This window comes from Homo sapiens, chromosome 11, assembly GCF_000001405.40.
Source record: "Homo sapiens chromosome 11, GRCh38.p14 Primary Assembly".
Taxonomy (NCBI): domain Eukaryota; kingdom Metazoa; phylum Chordata; class Mammalia; order Primates; family Hominidae; genus Homo; species Homo sapiens.
In genome coordinates, this window is record NC_000011.10 from 105697210 (window position 1) to 105723977 (window position 26768).

At 35.0% G+C, this 26768-nt stretch overlaps 1 protein-coding gene and 1 pseudogene across 26 annotated transcripts in view, besides 2 other annotated features; both read left to right on the plus strand.

The window, feature by feature from the left end:
• GRIA4 (glutamate ionotropic receptor AMPA type subunit 4) overlaps positions 1 to 26768 on the plus strand; it is a 372097-nt gene that overhangs the window by 87216 nt on the left and 258113 nt on the right. The window lies entirely within an intron of this gene.
• HSPD1P13 (heat shock protein family D (Hsp60) member 1 pseudogene 13) lies at positions 9657 to 10610 on the plus strand (annotated as a pseudogene).
• Positions 22407 to 22516: an enhancer, noted in NCBI's record as "active region_5461". NCBI's record gives its function as "activates an Ori minimal core promoter by ATAC-STARR-seq in GM12878 lymphoblastoid cells {active_cell/tissue: GM12878}" and the evidence as "EXISTENCE:reporter gene assay evidence [ECO:0000049][PMID:35858748]".
• Positions 22527 to 22576: an enhancer, noted in NCBI's record as "active region_5462". NCBI's record gives its function as "activates an Ori minimal core promoter by ATAC-STARR-seq in GM12878 lymphoblastoid cells {active_cell/tissue: GM12878}" and the evidence as "EXISTENCE:reporter gene assay evidence [ECO:0000049][PMID:35858748]".

Sequence of the window (26768 nt, forward strand, 5' to 3'; positions counted from 1 at the left end):
AAAAGGCACTTAATGGTAGTTCTTCACCTGTATTGGAAAACAGCATGCCTTTGAAGAGCTGATGAAAGCTAGAGTCTCTCTCTCTCTTTCTCTCCAGAAAAAAAGCCTAAATGCATGTACAAGTGTATATGCCAAATTTGCCTACAACTTTAGGACTCTCAGGATTCATTCAATAAAAAGAGGTTAAAAACCCCTAAGCTAAAATAGGCCTGAAAAGAGCCTGACTCTGCTAAAAGGTGGGGCAAAGGTGGAAGGACATGACTGTGAAAGATGGGGAGGAAGCATGTGCTTTAGAAGAGAAGAACATGCAAATTTGCTTTTCAAAGAAGGCACAGGTGTGCTTTGCAAACCTTTGCAGAATGCTGTCTACCTTAGATGCTCCCTAACAAGAAGACCTGAATTGTTTGGAAGCCAAGCCCCTGTGCTCCTTCATACATCCACTCATTCACCCATTTAATTAAGATAGATTTATTTCGTTCCACTGTGTGCCAAGAACTGTGTTTAAGAGTGGGGGGAGGGGTGGTGCAATTGTGAAATGAGTGCAAATTGTGAATTGAGTCTTTTATGCCAACATGTCGTTTTCTTAGATGAGTCATGAGAGTCCTAAAATTGTAGGCAAAATGGGTACATATACTCATATGTGCATTTGGGCCTTTCTCTGGAGTGAAAGAGAGAGAGCCTATAGCTTTCATCAGCTTTTCAAAGGCATGCTTTTTTCCAACACAGGTTAAGAACCACCTTTAAGTGCCTTTTCTTATTTTCTTTTTCCTCAAAGTTAAAGCCCAGCAGTGGAGATGGCAATGATTTGAAACATGGCCCTTCCTCTCTATTTCTCACATATGCTACTATGTCATGCTAGAAATAAGGAAAAAGAGTCCATTCATTTAGAAGTTTCTACTTACCATGTCACTGATTTTGTACTCACTAGCTATTTTCACTTATTGTTATTGATACTACGTGCAAACAAATGAGGTTTTTAGTGACTTCTAGAACCATAACATATATATTAATTATGTTAATATTAAATGTCTATAACGGAAAAGTGTTAATGTGACATATAATTAATGTAATTATAGTGCAAGATTATTGTTTTAGGCATCATAATACTGCCTAAAGTAGGACTTATGTTTTTGTATAAACCTCATGAAAAACATGGCATCTTTTGGTTGCCCTGAAATTATTTATGCACATAGGAAAGTATCAAATTAAGATAGTAGTCATATGGCTTCAGTGGCACTCAGCTGGGGTCAGAGGCCATTTTATTAAAATTCTCTGGGCTATTCATTGGCACTCGGAGTTGAATCTGTTTCCCTGGTAACAATGAACTGCTTTGCAATGAGACACGAAAGGAATCAAATCAACGTAGAAGTAATTCTGGCCTCAAGTAAATTCCAGTGGAACCAAGGAAAACTTCTTGTATATAATCCATCAGAACACCAGAGAGAATGTGCATAAAAAATCACCTTGGAAAAGAGGACATAGCACTTTGTCTTCCACTCTCCTATTCATAGCATATAGCACATCATATTGTTATCTGTCATATTTGTTGATGACACTAGACACTAATTATGATCCACACGCAGGTGTGGCTGAAAGACCTATTTAGGAATGACAGGACTTTTCACTCTGCACATGTCATGATGATTCCTTAGTTTTGCAGCTGCAACTGCTAGTCGCAGAACATGCTGCTATTTAAGGGGCAGCCACTTAAGATAGGAAGTCAGCCCCAAGTCTTTGCACAAAAGAGCTACCCAATTGCTGAATATGCCATGTCAGTCTGGTCTGTGCTGCTGAGTTATCCTAACTTCCTACAACTATTTCCTGTTTAAGAGTTTATAGACTTTTCGTCAAGTGCTCATGTCTTCCTTTGTACTCTTTACTAATGCCGAAACTGACAAGCTATGTCTTCATGAATATCATGTAAATGCTGGGCATTTATTTTCTCTTTCAGTTATCTATTCATTCAGAAAATATTTATTGAGGATCAACCATGTCCCTGTTCCCTCCTCTGTGCTATGTGCTGCAAATAGAGCAGGAAGAGGACAAACCCCTTCCTAGAAATCTTTTGTAGGATGTCCCCAACTTGTTATTTGATTTCAAATATAACCTGTGAGTGGGACTGATAGAATTATTCAGGACACTAGCTGCACTCTCTATACAAGATCACATCACATGACCACATTGAAACTGGAACAAGATCATAGTTTCAGGCATTGTCAATCTTCTGTCATCTGGAGACGGCTGCAACATTGATGTCATTTGTTGTTCCAGTTCTTAATTAGTATTTTCTTTCAGTCCGTTCTGCCAGAAGAAATGTCATAACTTTTATCTTCATCTTGACACATTCTACTTTCTATTTTTTTTATTTCCTGTATTACGATGTAAGTTCCTTGAGGTCAAGGGCTATGGTTTTATTTATCTTTGTTTCTATTGCTACACCTTGCACAGAAATTGAAAGGTTCTACACTTATTTCCTCTGCTTGGAACACTTATCCCATGGACACGCACGGGGCTCTGTCCCTCAGCCCTTCACTCAGTTTAAACATCACCTTATCAAAGAGTCTTCCTAAACTACCCTACTTAAAGTAGTAACTACACAACTCTTTTATCCAACCACTACCCACACATCCCTTTCCCCTTACCCGGCTTTATTACTCTTCATAACATTTATCACCATCTGGCATACTTACTTGTTTATCACCTGTCTTCAACTACTAAAAGCCCCATGAAAATAGGAACACTGTCTGTTTTATTCACTGTTGTATTCTCAGCACCTGGAACAGTGCCTAGATCCTAGTGGGGCACTCAATAAATATTTGTCAATTGAATAAATATCTATGGTAAATCCACACATATTTATACTGCCCAATAAAGCATAGAGATGTGATATTTTATTATATGACACTGGTAATACACGAAGAGTGCACATAGGTGCCACCTTAAGCATCCCTCTGGGACGGTGACAAAACTCACATTGCAGAAACATTTTTGATAACCATTGACTTGATGTGATGCATTAATTATGTAGCTGCAGAAAGAGGGGAATGAGTCAGCTCATTTATGTGTAACACTTGAACCTCAGATAGGTGAACATATTTCCAGAATCCTACCATATCATTCTCCTCTTCTTTAATTAGTGAAACAATTGTGTTGGCAATTGCAAGCTGATGCCAGACACATATTGCTAAACCAGAGTAGATCATCCCTATTAGTAGTTCCAATCCCATGTGGCCCAATTATTTTCCTCCATATTTAAGCCTCACTGACAACAAAAGTGCTCAAATCCCATGTGACAACTAGGCAGAGGCTGGCAAACTTTCAATGAATCTATCTAATCCTGCATTGCATCTTTTTTCTTTTCCCTTATTTGTCAGCAGATGTCTATATACTGATGATAGCTTCCATTTACCCAGATGCTCAGGCCAGAAATTGGGATATTATCTTTAACTCCTCTCTTTTTCAGCCTTCAAATCCATGCATTCGAAATGCCAAGTCAGGTCTACTTTGAAACTCCTCTTCTTTTAATTCCCACCGACATTAAATGAGTTCAAGCCACCGTCAACTCTTATGTGGATGAATGCATTCCCTTTTCACTGCTTTTCCTGCCTCTGGCTTTGTTCCTCTCCAGTGTATTCACCTCACAGTAAACAAGATTGCCTTCAAAACTCCAAATCTATATTGACTTTTCTTTCTCATTGATATAAAGTCAAATTCTTCAGGTGTCATGAAAGGCTATCCATGAACATTTATGCCTCACTCACCAGCTTCTCAACCATCCCTATTCCTTTGAATGTCAATCATTCTGAGTTACCTGGTAACTTATGCTTGTTCTTGCCTCTATACTTGGTGAAACCTCTCTCCAATTTTGATGAGGCTTATTCCCCATTCTGGTTTAGTTTGAAAGTTTTTCTTGGTCTCCTGAGACCGACTGAGGCACTTTTCGTCTGTGCCCATTTATTGTGCTGTTGTCATTCCTTTCATAGGATTTGCCACACAGTGATGAAATTGCTTGCTTACTTTGCTTTTTTAACCGCTAGCTTACAAATATATCTTCTGTGCTTAACACAGTGCTTGGCATGTAGTCAATGTTCAGCATTATTTGTTGAATGAGTAAGTTCTTGACTGCAATGAAAGTGTATTTACACAGATTAAGATGATATGGGATAGGATATGTCTTCATATTACATCTACTTGGAAGTTACTTTTGGAAGTCCACAGATCTCTCAAGACAATCAAGGAGCTTTAGAATATGTAACTGCATGATTTTAAGTAAAGCATTTCCTTATTTTGAAGCACAACACATCTACTACGTATTGATCAAGAATGCAATTCCATTATAGGAGAGAGTGCATGTGTTCATATGAATAGGAAACAAGGTTTATTTAAAGTATTGGCTGTTACTTTCAGGAGGTGTAAGGCAAACACAATTCTAACCTCCTTAAATGCAATTAAATAGTGAGGGGAAATCATTGATTAAGATTGCACTTCCACTTGGCCTCTTCCACCTGAAAAGTGCTACTTGTTGGATGTGTGACAGCACCAGAAAATGCAGAAGAACAAATGAATAAGCATAATACACATTTAGACCTAATACTATGAAATTTTAAACTGACTTCATTTAAAGTTAGGTGTGTAACTTTAAAAGTAAACGTTTTAATTTATATATTTTACTGAATAGTAGATATTTGATCATAGTAATATACCAATATTTTTCTCTAGCCACTTGCATTTTTTTAAAAAACAGAGGCAGGATCTCACTCTATCTCCCAGACTGGAGTGCAGCGTTGCAATCATAGCTCACTGCAGCTTTGAACTCCTAGGCTCAAGTGATCCTCCTGCCGCAGCCTCCCAAGTAGCTGTGAATACAGGTGCTGCAACTACATCTGGCTAATTTTAAAAATGTGTTTAGAGAAAGGATCTCACTATGTTACCCAGGCTGGTATCAAACTCCTGGCCTCAAGAGGTCCTCCCACTTCAGCCTGGGATTACATTGCATTTGTGTATTAATATTTTTCCTAGTTGTTGAAGAGAAGCTATCTCTATCTACACTTTCAATGATAAACCATAATGTTTTATTAATTAAATATAAAATAAAGCAGCTGAAAACAGAAATAAATTCCCAAGTCATTGTGATGATTCTGGACCAATAATACTAGAAAACACAATGGTAAATATAAGTGTATGAAATTTTAAACACACACATATACATATCTATATAATTAGAAAACCAAATAAAATAAAATAATAATAATAGGCATAATGAAAAACCAAAGAATAGGAAATATCTACAACCAATGGTACCTAGATGGGAAAGGGCATGAAAAGACATTTATATAATAAAAAGATAAAAAATAAATATTAACAAATCAAAGTAATAACAACAAACAAGACAGATGGCATTTGATGTGTGCCAGACACTCTTTTAAGCACTTTTCACATATTAACACATGCAATCTTATAAGATATGCAAAATTATTTTCCTTTCTTTTTTTTTTTTTTTTTTTTGAGACAGAATCACTCTGTTACCCAGGCTGGAGTACAGAGGCATGATCTCTGCTCACTGCAACCTCCACCTCCTGAGTTCAAGCAATTTTCGTACCTCAGCCTCCCATGTAGCTGGGATTACAGGCATGTACTATGACACCCGGCTAATTTTTGTATTTTTAGCAGAGATGCGGTTTCACCATGTTGGCCAGACTGGGCTGGAACTCCTGACCACAAGTGATCTGCCCATCTCAGCCTCCCAATGTGCTGGGATTAAAGGCATAAGACACAGAAGATAAATTACTTGTCCAGTGTCAACTTGCTAGAAAAGTGATGAAATCTAGATTGAACTTAGGCATGGATTCTTTTTCACATATAATTATGTATTTAAAGTAAGAAAAATCAACCTATACTAATGTCAAGATGCAATAAGCACAAAACTTATGAGCAACCAGTTAAATAGTGACTTGTTATTGTTGCTTTAGAGTACAGTTAGATAATAAAACAAAAACGAGTTCATTCTATCTTCTGATTCATATGGTCATTCCTTATCATTTTATTCCAAATAAATAATTCAAAAACTTAAAAGATTTGTGTGAAGACATTATAACATATGTGAAAAGCAGAACTGAGTACAGCAGGGGTGGGTACTTGCAGTAAACTCTGAAAAATAATGTAGCCTTACCAATTGTAGTCCAGGGGAAATGTTAAATAGGTTGGAGACATCAATGTAAGGAAATTTATGTAGCCATAAAAACGATAGAATTCAAAACTAAAAACCAATAAAGAAAAGTGTTCATGAAATCACATTAGGTGAAGTACAAAATACAATTTTTTAAATACACTCTTATTACAACTATGTTAAAGCTATATAAGCCAACAAATAAATATTGGAAGTAAACAGGAAGACAGTAGTTATTCCACAATGGAGGTAAAATTATGGATTTTTTTAAATTCACTTTTTAATGTTTTAAGTTTTGTTAAAAATGACTTTTTGATACACTTTTACATAGAAAAGAGTTAAGACTATGATTTTATTTTTAATTTGCTAAACTGTCAAACCTATGACCTTGTACCCTTTCTGCATTAGACACCAAAGCCTAATGGGATAAATAATTAATAGGCAGGTTCTTATAAATTTTTATAGACTTAACCTATGTCATCTAACCTTTTAGCCACAGTACATTCAAGTGCTGGAAATGAGTTTCTTTGTTGAAAAGAAATACTAGTTTTTAACTGCTTTTGCAAAAATGTACATACAAGCAAATAGGAGGACTTAAAAATCTATTGATATTCTAGCATTATACAAATATCTTATATCTATAATTCATTATTCCTCTATGTCTATAAATATACTGAATGCTTATTCAATACAAATTAACATGTATAGGCTTTCTTTCTTCATTCAATGAGGGCCTACAAGGTACAAAGTTCTGTAGCAGCCACTAAAGAAATGGCCCATTCTCCCATGCTGCTTGTATTAGTCAACTTAAAACATCATTATTACTTAATTTCAGTTGTGGGAAGTGCTAAGAAGAAGTATAGGTTTTATGAGTACTTTTTAAAAGGGTGTCCAATTTAGAAATCAGGAAAGGCATTCTAGAGATAGTGACTTTGATGTGAGTTCTGAAAGATGGCTAAGAATTGACTAGATAAGGAGGTAGTGGTTAAGTACATGAGAGCATTACAAACTGAGGGAGTTAGATATGCAAAGGCCCTATAGAAAGAAAACTGGCCAGTGTGGTTATAGTCCACAGAGAAAAGAGAATGGTCAGAGAAATAGACATCTGGACCAGAAGACTAAGCTCTTGGTGGACCTAGCCAAGGAGCTCATTCTTCATCTTAATAAAAATAGAGGCTTTTGAAAGGTTGCAAAAAATGGACAAATTTGCATTTTTAAAAGAAAGACATGAGTGGGTGTCAGGAATTTCTTAAGTAGAACTCCTAAGAAAGATGTGAAAATACCTTTTACAATTAAAACACAAAAATTAAACATTCTAGAATAAACTTAAAAAGAAATGTGTAAGATTTCTATAAGAAAAATTTTAAAACATCCCCAAAAGATGCAAAAGTAGACTCGAATAAGTGAGAAGACATCCCCTTTCTTGTATTACATTATTCAACATTATAGCAATGTTTCTCCCATGTTAGTTTATGAATTTAACTCACTCCTTATAAAAACATCATCAGACTTTTTATGTAGTAAGACAAGTTGATAATAAAAGTTCATATGGAAAAACAAACATGCAAGAAGAGGTAGTAAAACACTGGAGAAGAAAACCCATAAGAGAACACTGCTTCTACCAGATATAAAAGTGCACTTCAAAGTTTCTATAATTAAAATAATGTGGTAACGGCACAATAATAGACAACAAAGTCAGTGGAATAGAACAGAAAGCTCAGATATAGATTCAAATACACATATAAATTTATTATATGATACAGGTAACACATTTGGGGCATCACTGGGCAAAGAGAGACTTTTTAATTAATGTTTGTGGGACAACTGGTTTACCATTTGGAAAAAAAATAAAATCAGTTGCATACCTCATACTATACACCAGAATAAATTCTAAATAGACCAGGAATCTAAATGTAAAAAAGAAAATTCAAACAAACAAGAAACTGAAGAAAGCAGAGGTGAATTCCTCTTTAATTTCATTATACAGTAGTGAAATATTTTGTACTTCTCAAAATCCAGAGGAGATAAAACAAGAATAAACCAACTACAAATTTAAAAACAAAAAACTAAAACAACACCATAAATAAAATCGCAGACAATTGATAAACTGGGAGAAAATGTTTGCAATGTGTAACACAAAGGAGTAATCTCCCCAGTACATAAAGAACACATAAAATTGAAGGAAAAAGGATCAATACCCCAATGGAAAAACAAGAGAAAGACCTGAACTGACGAGAGAGAGAGAGAGAGAGCTTACTCGAGTACATCCGGTCCCCCAAAAAGTTCAAATACAAACACAATTAGAGAAATAGTACAAATTAAAACAAGGGCAGTTCCCACCTATTACATGGGTAAACATTAAAAAGTATGACAACACACCCTCTTGGTGGGACTACGGGGAAACAGGGACTGTCACACATTGTTAGAGGCAATGCCAACTTGCACACCTTTTTGGAGAGGAATTTAACAATGTTTAATAAAACTGCATGTACATTTACCTTTCTATCTAGCAATGACACTTTTAGGAATTTACCCTGAATATACATTGCTAATACACATGCATGAGGTTATTCATTGCAGCACTGTTTGTAATTGCAAAATATTGGAAATGAAGTAAATGCTCATACATAGGAGAGTGATTGAACAGAATTTCGTACATCCACACAGTGCAGTACTAAGAAACTAGAACAGAATGAGGAAAACCTCTATAAACTAATACAGAGTAATATCCAAGATATTTAACTTAAGGAAAAAAAGCCAAGTGTAATGCATGTCAATTGTGGGGCCTTGCCAACATGAAGGGGATGGAAACTGCCCTCAAGGCAATGCTGTGCTGAGGGGCTGGAGGAGTGGCGAAGGGGGATGGGATGTGAGGCTTCTTTCTGTGTGCAGCCTGTGCATGTCTTGCTGCTGCTTTGCAGAAATGCTTCAATTACTTGCAGTCCTTTGCCAGATAAGGCAGGTGTCCAGTGCCCTGGTTCCTCATCTCAACTGGGCTTATGCCAATGATATAAAATTTGGTGCAGTTCCCTGAGCCTTAATGCTTCAAGTGTAGATTTTGTAGCTGTTACTAAGGGATGAAAGGAGCAGAGTGATTACTGAATAGAGTTGAAGAAGTTCCAAAGTAATAGAAGATGGTGTGATCATTGGAAAGTCAATTGACTTAAAGGATAAATATAAAAATATTGAGGCTAAACTTGTTCAAGATGTTGCCAATAATATAAAGGAAGAGGCCAGGGATGCACCATCACTGCCACTGTACTGTTGCCAATCCAGGGGAAATCAAGAGAGGTGTGATGTTAGCCCTAGATGCTGTAATTGTTCAACTTAAGAAGCAGTCTGAACCTGTAACACCCTCTGAAAGACATGTCTCAGGTTTCTACGATTTCTGCAAATTGAGACAACGATATTGGCAACATCATTTCTGATGCAATAAAAAAGTTTGGAAGTAAAAGCGTCATCACATAAAAGGATGGAAAAACACTGAAAGATGAATTGGGAATTACTGAAGGCCTTAAGTTTGATCAAGGTTCTATTTTCCCATGCTTTATATACGTCAAAAGGTCAGAGATGTGAATTCCAGGATACCTATATTCTATTTAACAAAAAGAAAATTTGTAGCATCCAGTTCGTTGTACTTGCCCTTGCAATTGCTGATGCTCACAGAAAGCCCTTGGTAATAATTACTGAAGATGATTATGGAGAAGCTCTAAGTACATTCATTTTGAATAGGCTGAAAGTTTGTCTTCAGATTATAGCAGTCAGAACCCCTGGCTTTGATGACAATAGAAAGAACCAGCTTAATGATATAGCTATTGCTACTGGTGGTTAAATATATGAAAGAGGCTAACAATAAATCTTCAGGATGTTCATCCTCATGACTTAGAAAAAGTTGGAGAGGTCATTCTGACTAAAGATGATGCCATACTCTTCAAAGGAAAAGGCAACAAGTCTTAAATTGAAAAATATATTCAGGAAGTAATTGAACAGTTAAATACCACAATTCATAAAAAGGAAAGCCAAAATGAGCATCTGGGGAAACTTTTAGATGGAATACCTGTACTGAAAGTTCATGGGACAGGTAATGTTAAAATGAATGAAAAGAAAGAGTTACAGGTACCTTTAATGCCAAATGAGCTGCTGTTGAAGAAGGCATTGTTCTAAGAGAGAGTTGCGCTCAAATTCAGTGTGTCCCATCCTTAGACTCACTAGCTTCAGCTAATGAAGATCGGTAAGTTGATGTAGACATTATTAAAAGAACACTCTGAATTCTTGCAATGATAAATTTTAAGAATGCAGGTGTTGAAAGATCATTAATAGTTTAAAAATGCAGAATTCCTCAGAAGTTGATTATGAGGCTATGTTTGGAGATTCTCCGAATGTGGTAGAGAAAAAAATTATTGATCTAGCTAAAGCTGTAAGACTGCTTTATCATGTGCTGCTGGGGTGGGCTACCAGCTAACTATAGCAGAAGTTGTAGTCATGGAAATTCCTAATGGATGGACCCTGGAATGGGAGGAATGGGTGGAGTGGGAGGACATATGAGAATTAGCATGTTCTAACCCTTAGACTGTTGGTTTGCCATTATTAATTAACCGATGAGAAGCTCAGGAAAGTGTCTGTCACAAATAGTTTCAGAGAAGTCATTGAAGAAAATGATTGAAGAAATGGCTGGCTGATGTTTAAGAAAATCACTGTAACCATCAGTTACCAGTTTCAGTGGATAACATAATAATGATTTGATGCCATCATCATCCAGATAACTTATTTTGTACTTTTGGACAAAAAGACATTTTTGCATTTTAGAAAAAATTTTAAAGGAGTAACAATAGTATGCTGTCCTTCGTGTAATAAAGGGGGAATGAGAAAGTATACATTCATCCACTCATCTCTTCAAAACAAATACCAGAAACAAATGAGATTTGTTATCAACATAGGGTGGCTGGGAATGGAAATGAAAGAATGTGAAAAGAATGATACTTCTTTCAGTATACTTTTCTGTAATACACTGCCCTTTATAACATTTCCTCCATAAAAACAACCAACCAGAATGTAGAGAGAAGCTAAAATGAAAAACAAATAATAACATATGAACCTAACTATATTACAAATAACTCCATGGTTATGTTGTTTATTTGTAATACAGTTAGGTTCATATGTTATTAGAGAAGAAAAGAACTTAGGTAATTTGGGAAAATATTATTTGATATTTTGATTGGTTACCATACCCAGATACGGTACACTAGTTAATAATTTTGTCTAAGTGTATTGGTTAGCAATTCTGTAACTACTTTATATGTATACCAACATTGAGCAAATAAGTAAAAATATTATGGATGATAAGGACCAGGTTTCCCACTGTTGGAGAGAGAAGTTGCAAATAAAAAAAAGAGGAAAGGCTAGAATAAGCACTCCTGTGTTGGGTTGAAATAAGAATGAGTTCATAGTTTTTAATATAGATATTTAATATAGACTTAATATTAATATTTAATATAGAGATTGAATTTTAGATGTTGAAGTAAATGTAGTAAATGAAGTAAATGTAGATGTGTAGATGTGTGTGTAAGTATCTACACATAATGTGGACATTCCAAGAACATTCCAGTAATGATGAACACACTTGGCATCCATTCTCCAATTAAAAAAGCCAGGGCTTCTTAGTAAAATGGCTGATTATATCTGAGGCAGGGAAAATATAAGATGATAAAGGACAATCTTGTGGTGTCAGAAAATAAGGAAATGCTTATGAAATGATTGGGAAAAGCATATGGAAAGGATTCAGGAGCTACAAATGAGTAGCTCTGGGACACCGTGAGTAAAAAAATTAAATAGTGGTCATAATGTGTTATTACCATAAAATAAAAATCAATGCCTATGAGCCCAAATTGATATAAGTAAATAAGTGAATAAATAAATAGATGGAGGAGAAGCTCCAGCTTTTCCATATGGTAAACTTCCAATGAATAATGTAGAAGGATGGAAGGGAAACAGAAAATCATCATTAGGTAAATATCACAGTCATAATTGCTGCAGGAAAGAATCATCAATGGATGCTAAAATTAATAGGTGAATGTATAATGAGAAACATAAATTTATATAGTCTCAAAGCATTTCTTCATAAAATGCCTTTTAATTATTAAAGGGAAAATAGTAACTTAACAGTGGAGAAACCTGGTGGACACCATCTTAACCACGTAATTGAAGGTAACACCACCAGTAATAAGACATACAGGCATGACATTCCTCCACACTGAGAAGGGTACAGCATCACTTCTGCGGTATTTCTGCCACATGCAAAAACATGAGACACCCAGGAGGAGGAGGTGGGAGGCAGACAGGAAGAGAGGGAAGAAAAAGGGATAGGTATTGGTGGAGGTTTGATACTACCACCTCCATTAAGATGTTGATAGTGAAGACAGGAAGATGTGGAGGCAGTACGTAGATTACAAGAAAAATTGTGAATCAACAGAATTTGAGGATCAGTATCAGATGAGAAACAATGGATTCTGAAGAGAGTAGAAGGAGGTTTAAGGAAGATACCCAGATTTGTGGGCTGATGTACAAGTGGTTGATCTTGCCTTGTATTAACAACAGGATAAATTGGAGGAGACAAAGTTTTAGGGATAATTATCCACTAATTTAAGATTCTCAATTCATCAGTACTGCAATCCCAAGCATGTAGCATATCCTTAGTGAAGTCTTTTATTATTTTATTTGTTTATTATTTCTTATTATATTATTAGGGTCAGATAATCAAATTATATCCACAGAGAAACTAGTTTTACCTTGATGAAATTCACATTTGCAGGCCAGCTTACCTTGCTGCGATACATGTCCTCGTGAGACCTGGGGTCAGGGTGTGAGAAGTTCTGTTCATTCTGGTTTAATCTCTGTAGTAAAAAGAAACACCTTTTCCTACTTCATAGGCTATCTCTTTGTAGATTAGTGATATGTAGGAAGCAGTAATGGCCTCAGGTATGTCATGGAAGAGACCCTTAAAATGAGTTCTGTTCTCACATTACATTGTCAGAAAAATCCCTGGCCCCTGAGCCACCACCACAGCAAGTATTCTATTTGAAATATAGAAAGAATTGCCACCAGTTTTCTCCTTTATTTTATATATAAATGTCAAAAAAAGAGACATGAGTATCTTAGATGTGAAATGTTAGGCATACATTTAGATATTTTCTGTTTGAAGTTTGGTAGATTTATTCAATATTAGTTTATATACAAAACATCTGGAGAAAGAGAATGGGCCTTGGACAAGCTAGTTGTGGGTTCAAATTTCAGTGCTGCCACTTAGCCAATAACAAGTCTGTGAACCCTAACAATAGGCATAAATTATTGAAGCCTCATTTCCCTAGAGTGTAAAAGGGAGTCAAAGACTTGACTAATAAAATTCATGGAAAATTAACTGAAATAGTTGCAAAACCAAGTATGGTATCCAGTATGTGTGTTTTCACAAAATGAATGGATGATATTTAGCAAATATTAAATACACAAATGGGTTATATTTTCATTTTTGTTTCCTACTATTTTATTAGGAAACAAAAACTAAATAAGGTAAGCCCTAGCAATAAAATCTCAGAATTATTTTTTTTCTTGGTGGAGCCATTAAGAAAAATTAATTAGTTAATTTGTTTGAAGATCGTAAATACCAAGGTAGTGAATCATTGCTAAAGCAAATATAATTATCATAAAAGTATACAATAATTTACAGATTAGGTGAATAAGTTTTAGCTATGTGGTAAGAAATATAATGTATTATTATTCACCTGATCTGGATCAAACCTAGTTGGGTTCCAAAGACAACATTTAAAAATATTTTTTAAAAATTATTCCTGGTGTATGATGTTCCCCTTCCTGTGTCCATGTGTTCTCATTGTTCAGTTCCCACCTATGAGTCGGGGGAGAGGGGAGGGATAGCATTAGGAGATATACCTAATGCTAAATGACGAGTTAATGGGTGCAGCACACCAACATGGCACATGTATACTTATGTAACAAACCTGCACGCTGTGCACATGTACCCTAAACCTTAAAGTATTATAATAATAAAATTTAAAAAAAGAAAAAAAATTATTCCTTCATATGATAGAACATACTGTGTCTGAGTTTGTTCAAATGTTTGCTCTGATTATAGAACTTGATTTATATGAATTCCATCTGTATACTCTCACCGGCGAAATAACCTGTAAATGAACCCAAGAGCGACTGATCTTTGAAAATAAAATACTCTCACATTGAACACTATCTCTTTGAGTGAAATTATGATGAAATTACATGAATGGTGACATAGGGAAGTGGAGAGGAGTTATTTCAGTTAAATCAACATTGATTAATCATGTTCCATGTCCAAGACATTATAAGTAATGTTGTGGCTACATCATTTTTAAAGTGTGGCACCTGTCCTTAATGTTGGGAATCAAGTAGGCCTTGAGGCTCAATTCCATTCTGGCTCAGGAATCTATCAAAATTATGATCTTGGGCAAGTTATTAAAACCTCTCTAACTTCCTCTTTCACCCTCTGGAAATGTGAATACCACAACACTTACTTTGTGAGAATTAAATGTAAAATATTGTTGAAAATAATTGGCAGGAAATAAATGTCTAAATATCTTTCTCTTTCTCTCTATGATAGAGTTTTTGAGAAGATTAAATTTAAAATCTTTAAATTTTGTATGTTTAAAATTTATGTATTTATGTATGTTAAAGGTTATTAATCATTATATAGATATATGAAATTGTTATTATAAATAAATATGTAAATAGGTACAGCTCACTGTAATTTATCTGGAAGGACAACCTCAACCAATGAATGCATATTTTGGCATTTGCTTTTTCATAGCCAAAATCTCATAGCAAGACAGTGGAAAACAGGATGGATTTTTCTCCATGGTAGAGAACTGATGTCCTTAGTTTAAATGAAACTGTGTAAAGCGAAGTCTCTGTGTATAAAAAGAGAAAGCTGTTGTTATATTAGTCAGATAGTGAGGATAAACTCAAGAAAAGTGAAAGGATCTATCTATATATAGATATAGATATATATATTCTTATTCATGCTTTGTCAGTCCTTTACTAATTTTTTATCTTACTTAGAATAATACCATATAAATGGAAAAGGGATAAGATAATGAAAAAGTTTCCCCAAATAAATGAAAATTGCAAAGGAAATTCAAATTTACTTTTCAAAGGGATTATTACAACATTTCAGCCTATCCTATTTTTTGTGCATAATTTTTAAAATTATGTTTCCTTGTTTCTTTTACCATGCTTAGTGAATCCGTTTCACATAGGTGTTTTGTTTTGTTTTGTTTTTGTTTTTGTTTTGCTTTGTTTTTGTTTTTTTTAATATAGAGAAAGCTTTAAGTAAATTGCCCATAAATAAATCATTGCAGCCCAGATTTAAAAGTACATTTGGCCTTAGGCCATTCCTCATAACTAGTGAAAGCTCAAAAGTATGAGCCCAATGTGGAAAAAAAAGAAAAAAAATATAAAGAGCTCAGCAAAAAGGATTTAATAAAGGGAAACCACATATTTAATTTAAATATCTCATACAAAGGCTGCATATTACCCAATGCTTTTAATACATGATGAGATATTGAATATCATAATGGAGATATAAAAATCTGCATTTATCTTTAGAACTCTAAACAAAACTCTTCTATTAAGTCATGGTAGGTTGATATTGCAGTATAATATAAAAAATAATAATTCTGAATACAGGCCAGGCACAGTGACTCACTCCTGTAATTCCAGCAATTTGAGAGGGTTAGGCAGGTGGATCACTTGAGGTCAGGAGATCAAGACCAGCCTAGCCAACATGGTGAAACGCTGTCTCTACTAAAAATACAAAAATTAGCTGGGCGTCGTGGTGCCTGCTTTTAATCCCAGCTACGTAGGACGCTGAGGCAGGAAATGACTTGAACCTGAGAGGTGGAGGCTGCAGTGAGCTGAGATTGCACCACTGCACCCCAGCCAGGAAGACAGATTGAACTGCATCTCAAAAAAAAAAAAATTCTGAAATTCTGAATACATTTATTTCTGCACATATGGACACATACTCAAAGGAAATTTATAAAATGAAATTACTTGTCAAAATGATGGAATTATGGGATCTTTTCCAGATTTTTCTTTAATGCTTTTACAGATAAAAGCAATGCTTAATTTAGAGAAACACTATCATGCATTATACATTCCAATTTTACCTGAAAGTTTTTGCCCTTTCCTGTGTGATTTGTGGGGATAAAAGCTTTCAATCAATTTTCAACTACAAGCTTTTCTACCTTGTACAAGAAAGTTTTTAATTTGGGATTGTTGTTAAATTACTTCAGGAACATAGTTCAGAAATTATTAATTAATATATGCTAATTAACAGCACAAATATTTTAAAGATGCACAAATAGGTCCAGAATGGAAATTTTAAAGTAGCTTGAGGCCATTGAAGTAACAAAAGGACAATTCAAAAATAATTAACAACAGACCCAGAGGACCAGTAGTGGGTACAGCTGCAAGGAAACACTTCTGTGTGTGCTGGCAGACTGTAGACCTTCAGCGGCTCTTCAGTGAGTACAGCTGTGCTCAGCTAATTTTGTTTGTTACCACAATAATCTAGAAACTACTAAACTTAGAGACGCTTTGAGGCAGGATCTATAGGATTTAGGTTTTACAAAATATATTGGGGGCTTGTAGGTGAGAATTGTGGGATTTATGCCTCAACTTCCACATTTATATTTATGGAAATATTATTTAGAGACTGCTTTGAGATATAAAATTAATGGTTTTGCTTCTCAAAACTTGATGATGTCAAGACTGTTTAGTAATTTTTAAACTAAAATATTATAAAAATTAACCAGAAATATTTTAAATTTTGAAAAACAAAAAAAAAAATCAATATATATAATTGAAACTCAAAGTTACTAGTGCAATTTTCATGTGAAAAAATTCTGCTAGAGAGTATGTATCATCAAATCACACTGTTTTAAATTTCTTAATATTTTAACAATCTGATATCACTTTGAGATAATTTGGTTGAATGCTTCCCTACAATAAATAAGTGAATAAGTCTCCATCATAAAATGATATATCCATTCTGTCTGAAAGTAACTATGACCTCAACGAACAGTTGATTTTGTTGCCTAAATATTATCATGCTTAAGACTTGAGTATACTTTATTATAAAACATCAATTATCTTACAAAATGTAATGGATTCATTTCTAGTAAAATCATCTTAGGAGATATATTTTCAAATAATTATATTATTCAGATTCACCAAGACCCTATATTGCTGAAACGAGACAGGCCAATAAAGATATTTATTAAATTATGATGACAACATCTGTTTTAGAAATGTAAATTAATTATACTGAACAGAATAATTATTTGATCTTTAGCCGTTTTAGGTCTTCAGTTGGGACAGACCCAGAAGAGTGTGTGTGTGTGTTCGTGTGTGTGTGTGTTCTGGCTGTTTCTGCAGGTGTCTCTGAGAGACTTCGATTAGTAAAGGGTCTAGGTTAGGTTCACTAATGTCCACAAAAGGATGACAGTCAAACCATCAGCTTTTCTGGTCTCCAGTGTAAGAGCTTCACCTTCAACCAGTAACTGTGAATCTACAGTCAAGGCCAGACTTGATGGCAATAACAATCACAATTGATTGCAACAAAATCATCATTTTAAAAATCTGAAAAAAACAGCGATTATATCTTATGGAGAATTTCTAAAAGTGGACTTTCAAATCAGTGTAAATCAGCGTAGTCAATAAACAGCAATCACTTATTTGCTACATGTTACCTTAGCATTCTGAGGAGTTGCCAATCATGACAATGGTCATAATCAAAAGATGCTGTAACCATACTATTACATCTTTTCATTACACTTGCTGAAGGCACGTTGTTGAGGACATTTTCTATTATATGACTACCTTCCCTATATTAAGTCTTATGTTTGAAACATCTTTTAGAATTTAGTACTAGAGATATATCTTTAACCTCCAACCAGGACCTGTTATGCTTAATCCCCACTGAAAATAAAATTATGTAACTGTCTATGTTTCCCTTTTTGTTTTGATGACCAAGAAGCCTACAGATAGATGTTGCTCTCTCATTAATAGTCAAATGATTAGTACAAGAAGTCAGACCAGGAAGAGGTCATTAATATCAATACAAAAGATTAAGAAAGGCTACAGAAAATACCAAATTTGAGCCAGTTTTTAGATAATAGAATATATTTGTGTATTAGACGAGCAAAAAGGATTTTAAAGAATGTAATTCTGTACTAGTTAGAATAGGCTAAGCTGCAGTAACAAAATGACCCAAAGAATTAAGGATGATTAAAGGAGAAGTCATAACTCTACAGTGGGTTTTCAATTCAATGGGGTTGGGGTTTCTCTCCACTTTGTCTTAAGGGACCCAGGGTCCCTTCATCTCGTGGCGCTACCATCCTTTAAAGCATCCATGTCATCTGCCTTCGGCTAACAGGAAAACAAGTACAAAGTACACACTGTAGGTGAAATGTGTCAGGCCTGAAAATGGCCCACGTTATTTCTACTCAATGCCCAACGGGAAAGACTTAATCACTCAGCTGCAACTAATTGCAAGTGAGGCCCAGGAAGAAGAGGAAAGTAGACATACAGGGCTCTGTTACAAACATTAAAAATAACAAACTAAAATGCAATTAGCCTTGGCATAGTAAAAAGCATAATTTTATATTAGACATGACTGTAATTTCCCTAAAAGTTTAAAAGTTTCTTATCCACTGCAACCAACCCTTTTTTCACATATGCAAGAACTTATCTATAAACACATACAGAGGTTTTGGAATGAATTGAAGGATCCCAGATTGACAAGAAACCATTATATCTTGTGGAACACATTTTAGCTACTATTAAATGTAAATTTTGCAATAACACAGAAGAAAGAAATAAAACAGCTCCTATTTACATAGTAAAGTAATATACTTACTTCTAGCTTATTTGATAATGTATATAATTCAAATTACTTTTAGTTGTTTTATTTATAACTGTATTCTCAAGTTCCTTAATTTGAACAATTTTAAATGATAATACAGTGGTTAAAATGGAATGAAAAATTTAGTTTCCTAAAATAAAATGTATCACAATCACTGAAAACCTAAATTATCTAAGTTGTAACACAGTGTGCTGTCCTATTTCTGATAACTCTGGTTAGAAAGCAATTGGTGGACAGTTTTGCAGAGACTCCTAAGCTACACATCATCACTGTACAGAAAACTCTATACATCATTAACAACGTATCAATGCAAGCAATATAATTCCCTAGAGAAGAATAGTTTGCACTTAACATCAATTTAACCATTTTCTCTAGACACATCCTATTATGAAGTTTCATAACTCAGCAGAAACATCGGTATGTAGCAGGGGGCAAACATTATGTAAAAGTGGGGAATGATCAAAAACTTCACTCTCAGATGGACTCTAATCTTTAACTAGAGAATATACTATATTATAATTTAAATTACCTCGATGCCTTACTTTTAGAAGAGCAAATTGTTCTCACGTTTTACAACTTGATAGGCAGTTGCTCTAATCCATAAAAAAAGAAAAAAGGAGAAACTGAGTCTTTGCCTTTTCTTACTCTCTGCAATCCTTATTATTCAGTGTTACATGGAGGTTTATCTTAGCAAAGTCCTCCGTGATAACTTATTCATTAATCTTCAGAATATCCCAAACAAGTGAATATTTTCCCCTTATGTTGAAAATGAGGTTAACATTATCTTCATCTCCATAGAATGAGTCACTAGAAAAGGTGGATTGGAGCTAAGAATTCCTGAAATCCCAGTCCAAGCATGTCCAGTTTCATAAACCACCTTTTAAAATTCATTCTTTCATTTCAGAGCATGGCAAGCTCCATACCAGCTAATTTTTCTCTGTGACTATAAATATACCATATTTGCCCTAAAAGCATAAAAAGAAAAAAAAAATCTTAATGGGAATTCTGCTCCTACCTAAGCCACTCTAGCAGTTATTTTCTTAGCAAACTCTTAATTATACGCCCTTAGACAACAAGAAATAAAGCTAAATCTCACTATCTCTCCAAAAGCAAGATTCTGTCTCAGTGAGACTCTTTAATTAATCCCATGATATATGTTTCTGAATTTCTAAAAAGACATTCTTACAAGTTTTTTTTTTCTTGGAAGGGAGGAATAGTCATTCCAGGGGAGAGAAGTACAAATTCCAATGGTAATAAATTTTCCCAACTTTCAAGTCGTCTTGCAATGACTTACAACAAAGAAAAGACATAACATAGAGTTAAACGAAGATTTTTAAGTACAGCCTTTGTTCTCTCTTTTTTCTTTTTTTTTATTTATTATTATTATACTTTAAGTTTTAGGGTACATGTGCACAATGTGCAGGTTAGTTACATATGTATACATGTGTCATGCTGGTGCGCTGCACCCACTAACTCGTCATCTAGCATTAGGTATATCTCCCAATGCTATCCCTCCCCCCTCCCCCCACCCCACAACAGTCCCCATGGAATACTATGCAGCCATAAAAAATGATGAGTTCATGCCCTTTGTAGGGACATGGATGAAATTGGAAATCATCATTCTCAGTAAACTATGCAAGAACAAAAAACCAAACACCGCATATTCTCACTCATAGGTGGGAACTGAACAATGAGGCTTTGTTCTCTTGAAAAAAGAAATGGATCATTGGTTGGCTAACAGTGCTCTAAAATTAAAACCAAAATTATTTACTATGGCTCACCTCAAACATAAGCCCAGAATATGGAAAAAGTAAACACTGAGTCTTAAAATATTTAAGGCTAGAACAACCTATGAAGCCAATGTATAGAATTAGGTGTGGTCACACAAGTATATAGACTACATGTGTAGCACTGACTGAGGATCAGCCAATTAAGCTCTTCCAAGCTTTCATTAGTGTAATTATTTTAAGGGGGCATGTTTAGATCCTTGGTTTAATTCACAGATGACTGATGCCTGTAATGGAGAGTGAGGCTCCAGACAAAGGTACCAATATTATCGTACCATAAGCACAATCTCCTCCCACCTCAGCTGTTGTGATGCTTTGCGTAAAGCAAATGTCAACAAATTTGATTCACTGGATGAATAAATGGATGGATATTTGAGGGAGGTGGAGAAGCATTCAAAGACCTTAAAACCCATATAAATTACAACAGAAAACGATTGCTGTCTCATGATACTACAAATAGAAAAGAATGAGGAAACTAATTTCAGTCCACTGTAGGTGGAACAATTACCTAACACATGCATTGGGTTCATGGTGGTAATGGTGGTGTCTCGACCTAGTTAAGGAACACCTCCTAAAAGGAGCTACTTGAAGGCCAAAGTTTACTGTTAATGTGGATACTCACGGAAGGAGAGGGAATGCACGCATGATTTTCCATTCCACTGCTCCCTTGGCAGCTCATTCCTTTGAGCTACCAGAGTATTGAAATGGAAAAGATTTGTGCTTGCTGAGGCTCCTTGAGCAGGATTCTTGTCAATTCCAATCAGCTGCTTACTTAGGAGTTTGGAACAAGCCAGGGGAAACAAGGTAGGGAGTCAGGCATGAATGAGCTTACATCAGAGTTATGCCGTGGAGCTCCAGATCTGAGGCATTAACACGAAGCACTTATTCTTAAAAAGCTGATCTCTCTCTCTTGTTTTTTTTAAATTTAAAAGGAAGGTGACTGCTGACATTTTAACTATACAGTGTTGATTTCTAGAATGGACAATCTGAGCTTCTTCAGGCATTCGTACCTGATCTTAGCACTCAATTTTTAAATTGAGAGTTCGGTAAGTGCTACAAAGAGTTCTATTTTTCACTCTAAAGACAGGGACAACTCAATAGGGTTCCCCATTTTCCCAATCACTCATTGTGTTTGCTGGACAGAATTGTGATTGGCATTAGGAACTATCGGAGCGATTAGGTAAACATAAAGTTGTCCCACGAGCGGCTGGCTATGTTTTGGGAGATTAAGATTCCCGATCATTGGTGGACATTCCTCTCATCAAATTAGTAATCTTTCTTTGTGCATATGTCTGCTTTAAATTTTCTGAATATTAGAAACAGGTCATTGGAGAAATCTGAGCTGACAAAATGCGTGTATAATTAAGAGCCACTTAGAGCAGCGGCTGAGCTTATGTAGTCCAGGATATGACACAGCAGGCAGCAGGACCCTACAGTCACTCAAAGCAGAGCTTGGTTTTTAAATAAACATGTATGCTCAGTTCATTCTGAAAACTAATGACTCTGAAGCCTCATGACTCATGGGGCTTTTCTCCGTGAAGTCCCTGAGTAAAGGGACATAAGTACATACTATAAAGGTGGAGGTCAGCTTTTTCTTTACCAGTGACTCAGATGCGTTCAGGCTCTATAGGGAAAGTCAATGATTGGGAAAAAAAAAAAAGCCTGAGTTGGCATGAAAATTTTTCCCAAAAATGGCGACTGAAATTACAAATGTGGTGAGTTTCCTTTTCTATACTGTATTTTTCACAGCAACTAACACTCTTACAGATCACATTTGCTCACATTACTGTAAAATATCCTGCCAATTGGTCTTTCACTCAGCCTATTTCATCATAAGATCCCTCAGCAGTAGTACTAATTATTGTATTTTAATTTTTAATGTATTGCAAAATGTATTCACTTGCCATCTGTGAAAAGTACCTCTTCTGCTTGTCTGCATTCAAGGGGTAAAAATGTGTCAATATGCCAACTTTGATCTCTAAACCAGTATTTTTTTTTTTTAGCCAAAAGTACTTTCCTAAAAATAAGAAGCTACCATTTTTAAATTGTGAATTTCCTCATAAAATTTCATGTTTTTTTTCTGGCTTTTCCCAGAACATGTAAGATGCAACTTTGCTGGGCCCACGTGTCTACATAGCAATCACTGGCAGAGCAGCAGCAAACAGCCTCAGACAGCCAAGCAGTTTGCAGCCTGCCAGGAGCTGTGCCACCCTTCATCATTGCTGAACTGTGGTTTTATGTATACAAGGAGACTTAAAACAAAATGGAAATCTTTCTTGTATCTGTGATTCTATCCAAACCGAGAAAAGAAAATATGTGGCCTATGAAATGATGGGTTTCTCAAAAGATGTGAAAATGTATATTTCTTGGTAGAAATGAAGAATGTATAAACAAAATATGTCCATAGCTAAAAAGCGCAATTTATGATGCCATTAAGGACCAACCAGTGTAAGAAAGGGCTAGTTCTTGACTTTACAGTCAAATTGCTTCAGTCATTCACTTTATTTGCTTGATCCCTTAGACGTTTATGTTATAAATTAGTGCATTAATACACGTCTTGCTTCCTTCATTGTCAAATGGCCATCCACATTTATAAGGAGTGTGCAAATGGGTTGAGTAGATAAATCTCCAACCTGTCATATCACAGAGAAACTGCAGGATTGTGCAGCATCACAGATTCAGGCTGCAGACCAATTGGCTGCTCATTCGGAATAGTGTCCCCCAGTCCCCCTAGGTATAGCAGGAATAATTAATATTTTGAGATTATTTGATTTAAGCTATTCAATACCCCATGGCCCCCAGACTTTATCTAATGTTTTAATAGAAAGGCTGTTGGTTCCCAGAAGTCAAGTGGGAATGGGGCTGCCTAACTTGATGAATATATGCTCATGGACAGTGTTAAGTGGTTTTGGGTCCTTCTTCCTGGGATCAGAGCCTTGTTCCTATATTGTGGCTTGCTCCCTATTTTTCATCTAGCTGGTCACACCATGATTTGGGCCCTATGTTTTGGGGTTTTTAATATCTACGCAATCTCTTTTGCTAATTAAAGAATCTTGAGAGATTCATTGCAAAAATAACTATTTTAGGAACGGATCACTAAGGAGGTGGAAAGATTTTGAAGAGGGATAATATTTCAGTTTTTCTGTTATTGGCTTAAGTTTATTTCCGAGTAGCACTTAAGACCCGAGAATGCCCCTCCCCTTCCTGTTCTCCTCTGCTTGAATTTTCATTTCCCTTTCACCTGTCTCCTCCATTCTCACAGACTGGCTGGGGAAATAATGAGATTCAAGGATTCTTACAGTTTAATTTTAATTATTACCATAACATTCAGGAATATGTTTTGTTGTTTACAAAAATGATCTCTGAGCCTGGACTCAAACAAACATACTAAAGGATATTCTATAATTGGATTTGTTTCATTGATTTTACATATATTAATAGTGCAAAGCACTGTACAAATGCCAAAGAGAGATTCCTGCCAAAGATCCTGCCCTAGCAGGGTTTGCAACCAAACAGAACAGAAAAACTTAATTAAACAAGCAATTACACAAATTACTTGTGCAATTATTAATCCTGAACTTTATATTATCTCCCTTCTGCGTGGAACATTCTTCCCTCAGCTATTCCCACAGCAGGGTAAATCTCATCCTCCCAGTCATCAATATTGGGCATGAGGAGCTTCCATGGCCTGTGATTGGACAGCAATTGGTCTTAGCTCAAAGACTGTTTGCTTTTTGTAGAAAAACCAGGCATTATCTTCCTGCACTCAAAATAAGGCTTAATTTTTTCTTGACTATAATGGTAGTAAATGTCAATTGCAGTAAATCTAACGCAAGCTGGAAATTATAAAAGAATATATATAAATCATATGTATACTTGTTCTCAGAAATAGCTATTCTTGATATCTTAAAACATGTTCTCTGTTCTCTTTCCTAATTTGAAATCATGTTTTATATGTAACTATGAAATTGTGAAACCTTTCCATAGTTAAAAATCAGATGGTGCTAATTTCCCTCTACTGCTATATTATTGAGGTAAGAATATTTCTGTATACAGACAGTCCCTGACTTTTTGTGGTTGGACTTAACCATTCTTCCACTTTATGATGGGTTTATCAGGGTATTAATTTCATTTTCAACTTATGATGTTTGTGAATTATGATAAGCTTATTGTTATGTAGGCTCATTGTAAGTTGAGGAGCATCTGGACTTACAGTGGTACAACTCAACATTTTTCAGTCTTACAATGGGGTTATTGGAGTAGTAAGTGCATTTTCAACTTATGATTTGTTCTACTTATAATCGGTTTGTGGAGACATAACCCAATTGTAAGTAGAGAAGCATCTGTACTAGGCTTTTAGAATCATTTACCAGAAGTTACCTGATAAAAAATTTAGGACTCCGCATAGGTAGTCATAAATTTGTTCCTTAAAGGTTGTACCAATTCATGTTTTTATCAATAGTGAGCAAAAGTTCCCATCTCATCATAACTTTACTGATACTACTATTTCTTTAATACCTTCTCTACTTTCTAAGGTTAAAATGGTAAAATTTAATGTGCTTTTCTGCAATTATATTTTAGTTTTGTTATACATGTATATACATATAATGGTATATGTATTTTATTAAGATGTAAATATACTCCATGTCCATTGTATTACATACATAAAATAAGTAAAAATTTAGATAAATATTTAAGATTTAATCTCTTCCACCAAATTTACATAGTCTAGGCATTTTTACAGTGAAATAATATTATCGCCAAACTAATAATCGCATACTAAAGATTTGTGACGTCTGTAAGTTGACTTAAGTGAATATTTTTTCTTTTAAATGATTTTTACTTAACTAAATATTTGAACTTTTAGTGATAATGAAAATCAGTTTTAGTGATCCCACAATTAATTCTAGGAAGAACACAACTGGACCTTGGGACTTGCCGATGGGTAAAGTTGAAGAAGTAGACCGCTGGCTAAAAAGGAAAGGGGGAAAAAACCCTCCTAATTACATACAAACATCTCAGCAGTGAGCAATCAATGAGAAAGGAAATGCTGGAAAAGTACTTGACATTTAAATGTCAATTTAATCAAATTACGCAATTTTAAAATGTAGCTGAGTGTAATGGGCTCTTTAAATTCTTTAAAACATTATTTTATTTAAAATGGTCCAGAGATTGAGCATTTAGCTGCCTTGAACTGTCGTTTGAACCAATATCCTTAAATAATAACTTACTGAATTAGGTCATTACACTTTTAAAATAAAAATATAAATTTTATGGTTTTTTTCCAGAATAAAATATATCAGCATATCTGATGTAAAATAACGATTGGTCAGCATTTATGGCAATTCAATGAGATAATGTTGGAAAGGACAAATTGGAGAGTTAGGATGTCTAAATTCTAGGAAGGAAAAAATTCAGACAAACATAATATAGGATTCTTACTTCCCTACTAATTTATTTCCCTTAATTTTGGCATGAATTAGTCTTAACCTCAGCTTCCTCGTCATCCTTGATCTAGACCATTCACTGGAGAGAGAACTAATCATTGCTCGCTTCAACTTCCTAATATATCAAATTTGTGTGCATGTGTAACTATGAACAGTAAGTAGAAAGTGATGAGAACAAGATACCCAGGGAAGTAATTGATTCAGTTTGGTCCTAAGGCTCAATAAAACTTGACCTCTGAATTTATAATGAACTCAATGCAGCGTCACCAACAACAAAACAAATAATGGACATTTTTCAAAAGAAGACATACAAATAGCCAACAAACATGAAAAAATGCTCAACATCACTAATAATTAGAGAAATGCAAGTTAAAATTGCAGTGAAATATCATCTGACACCA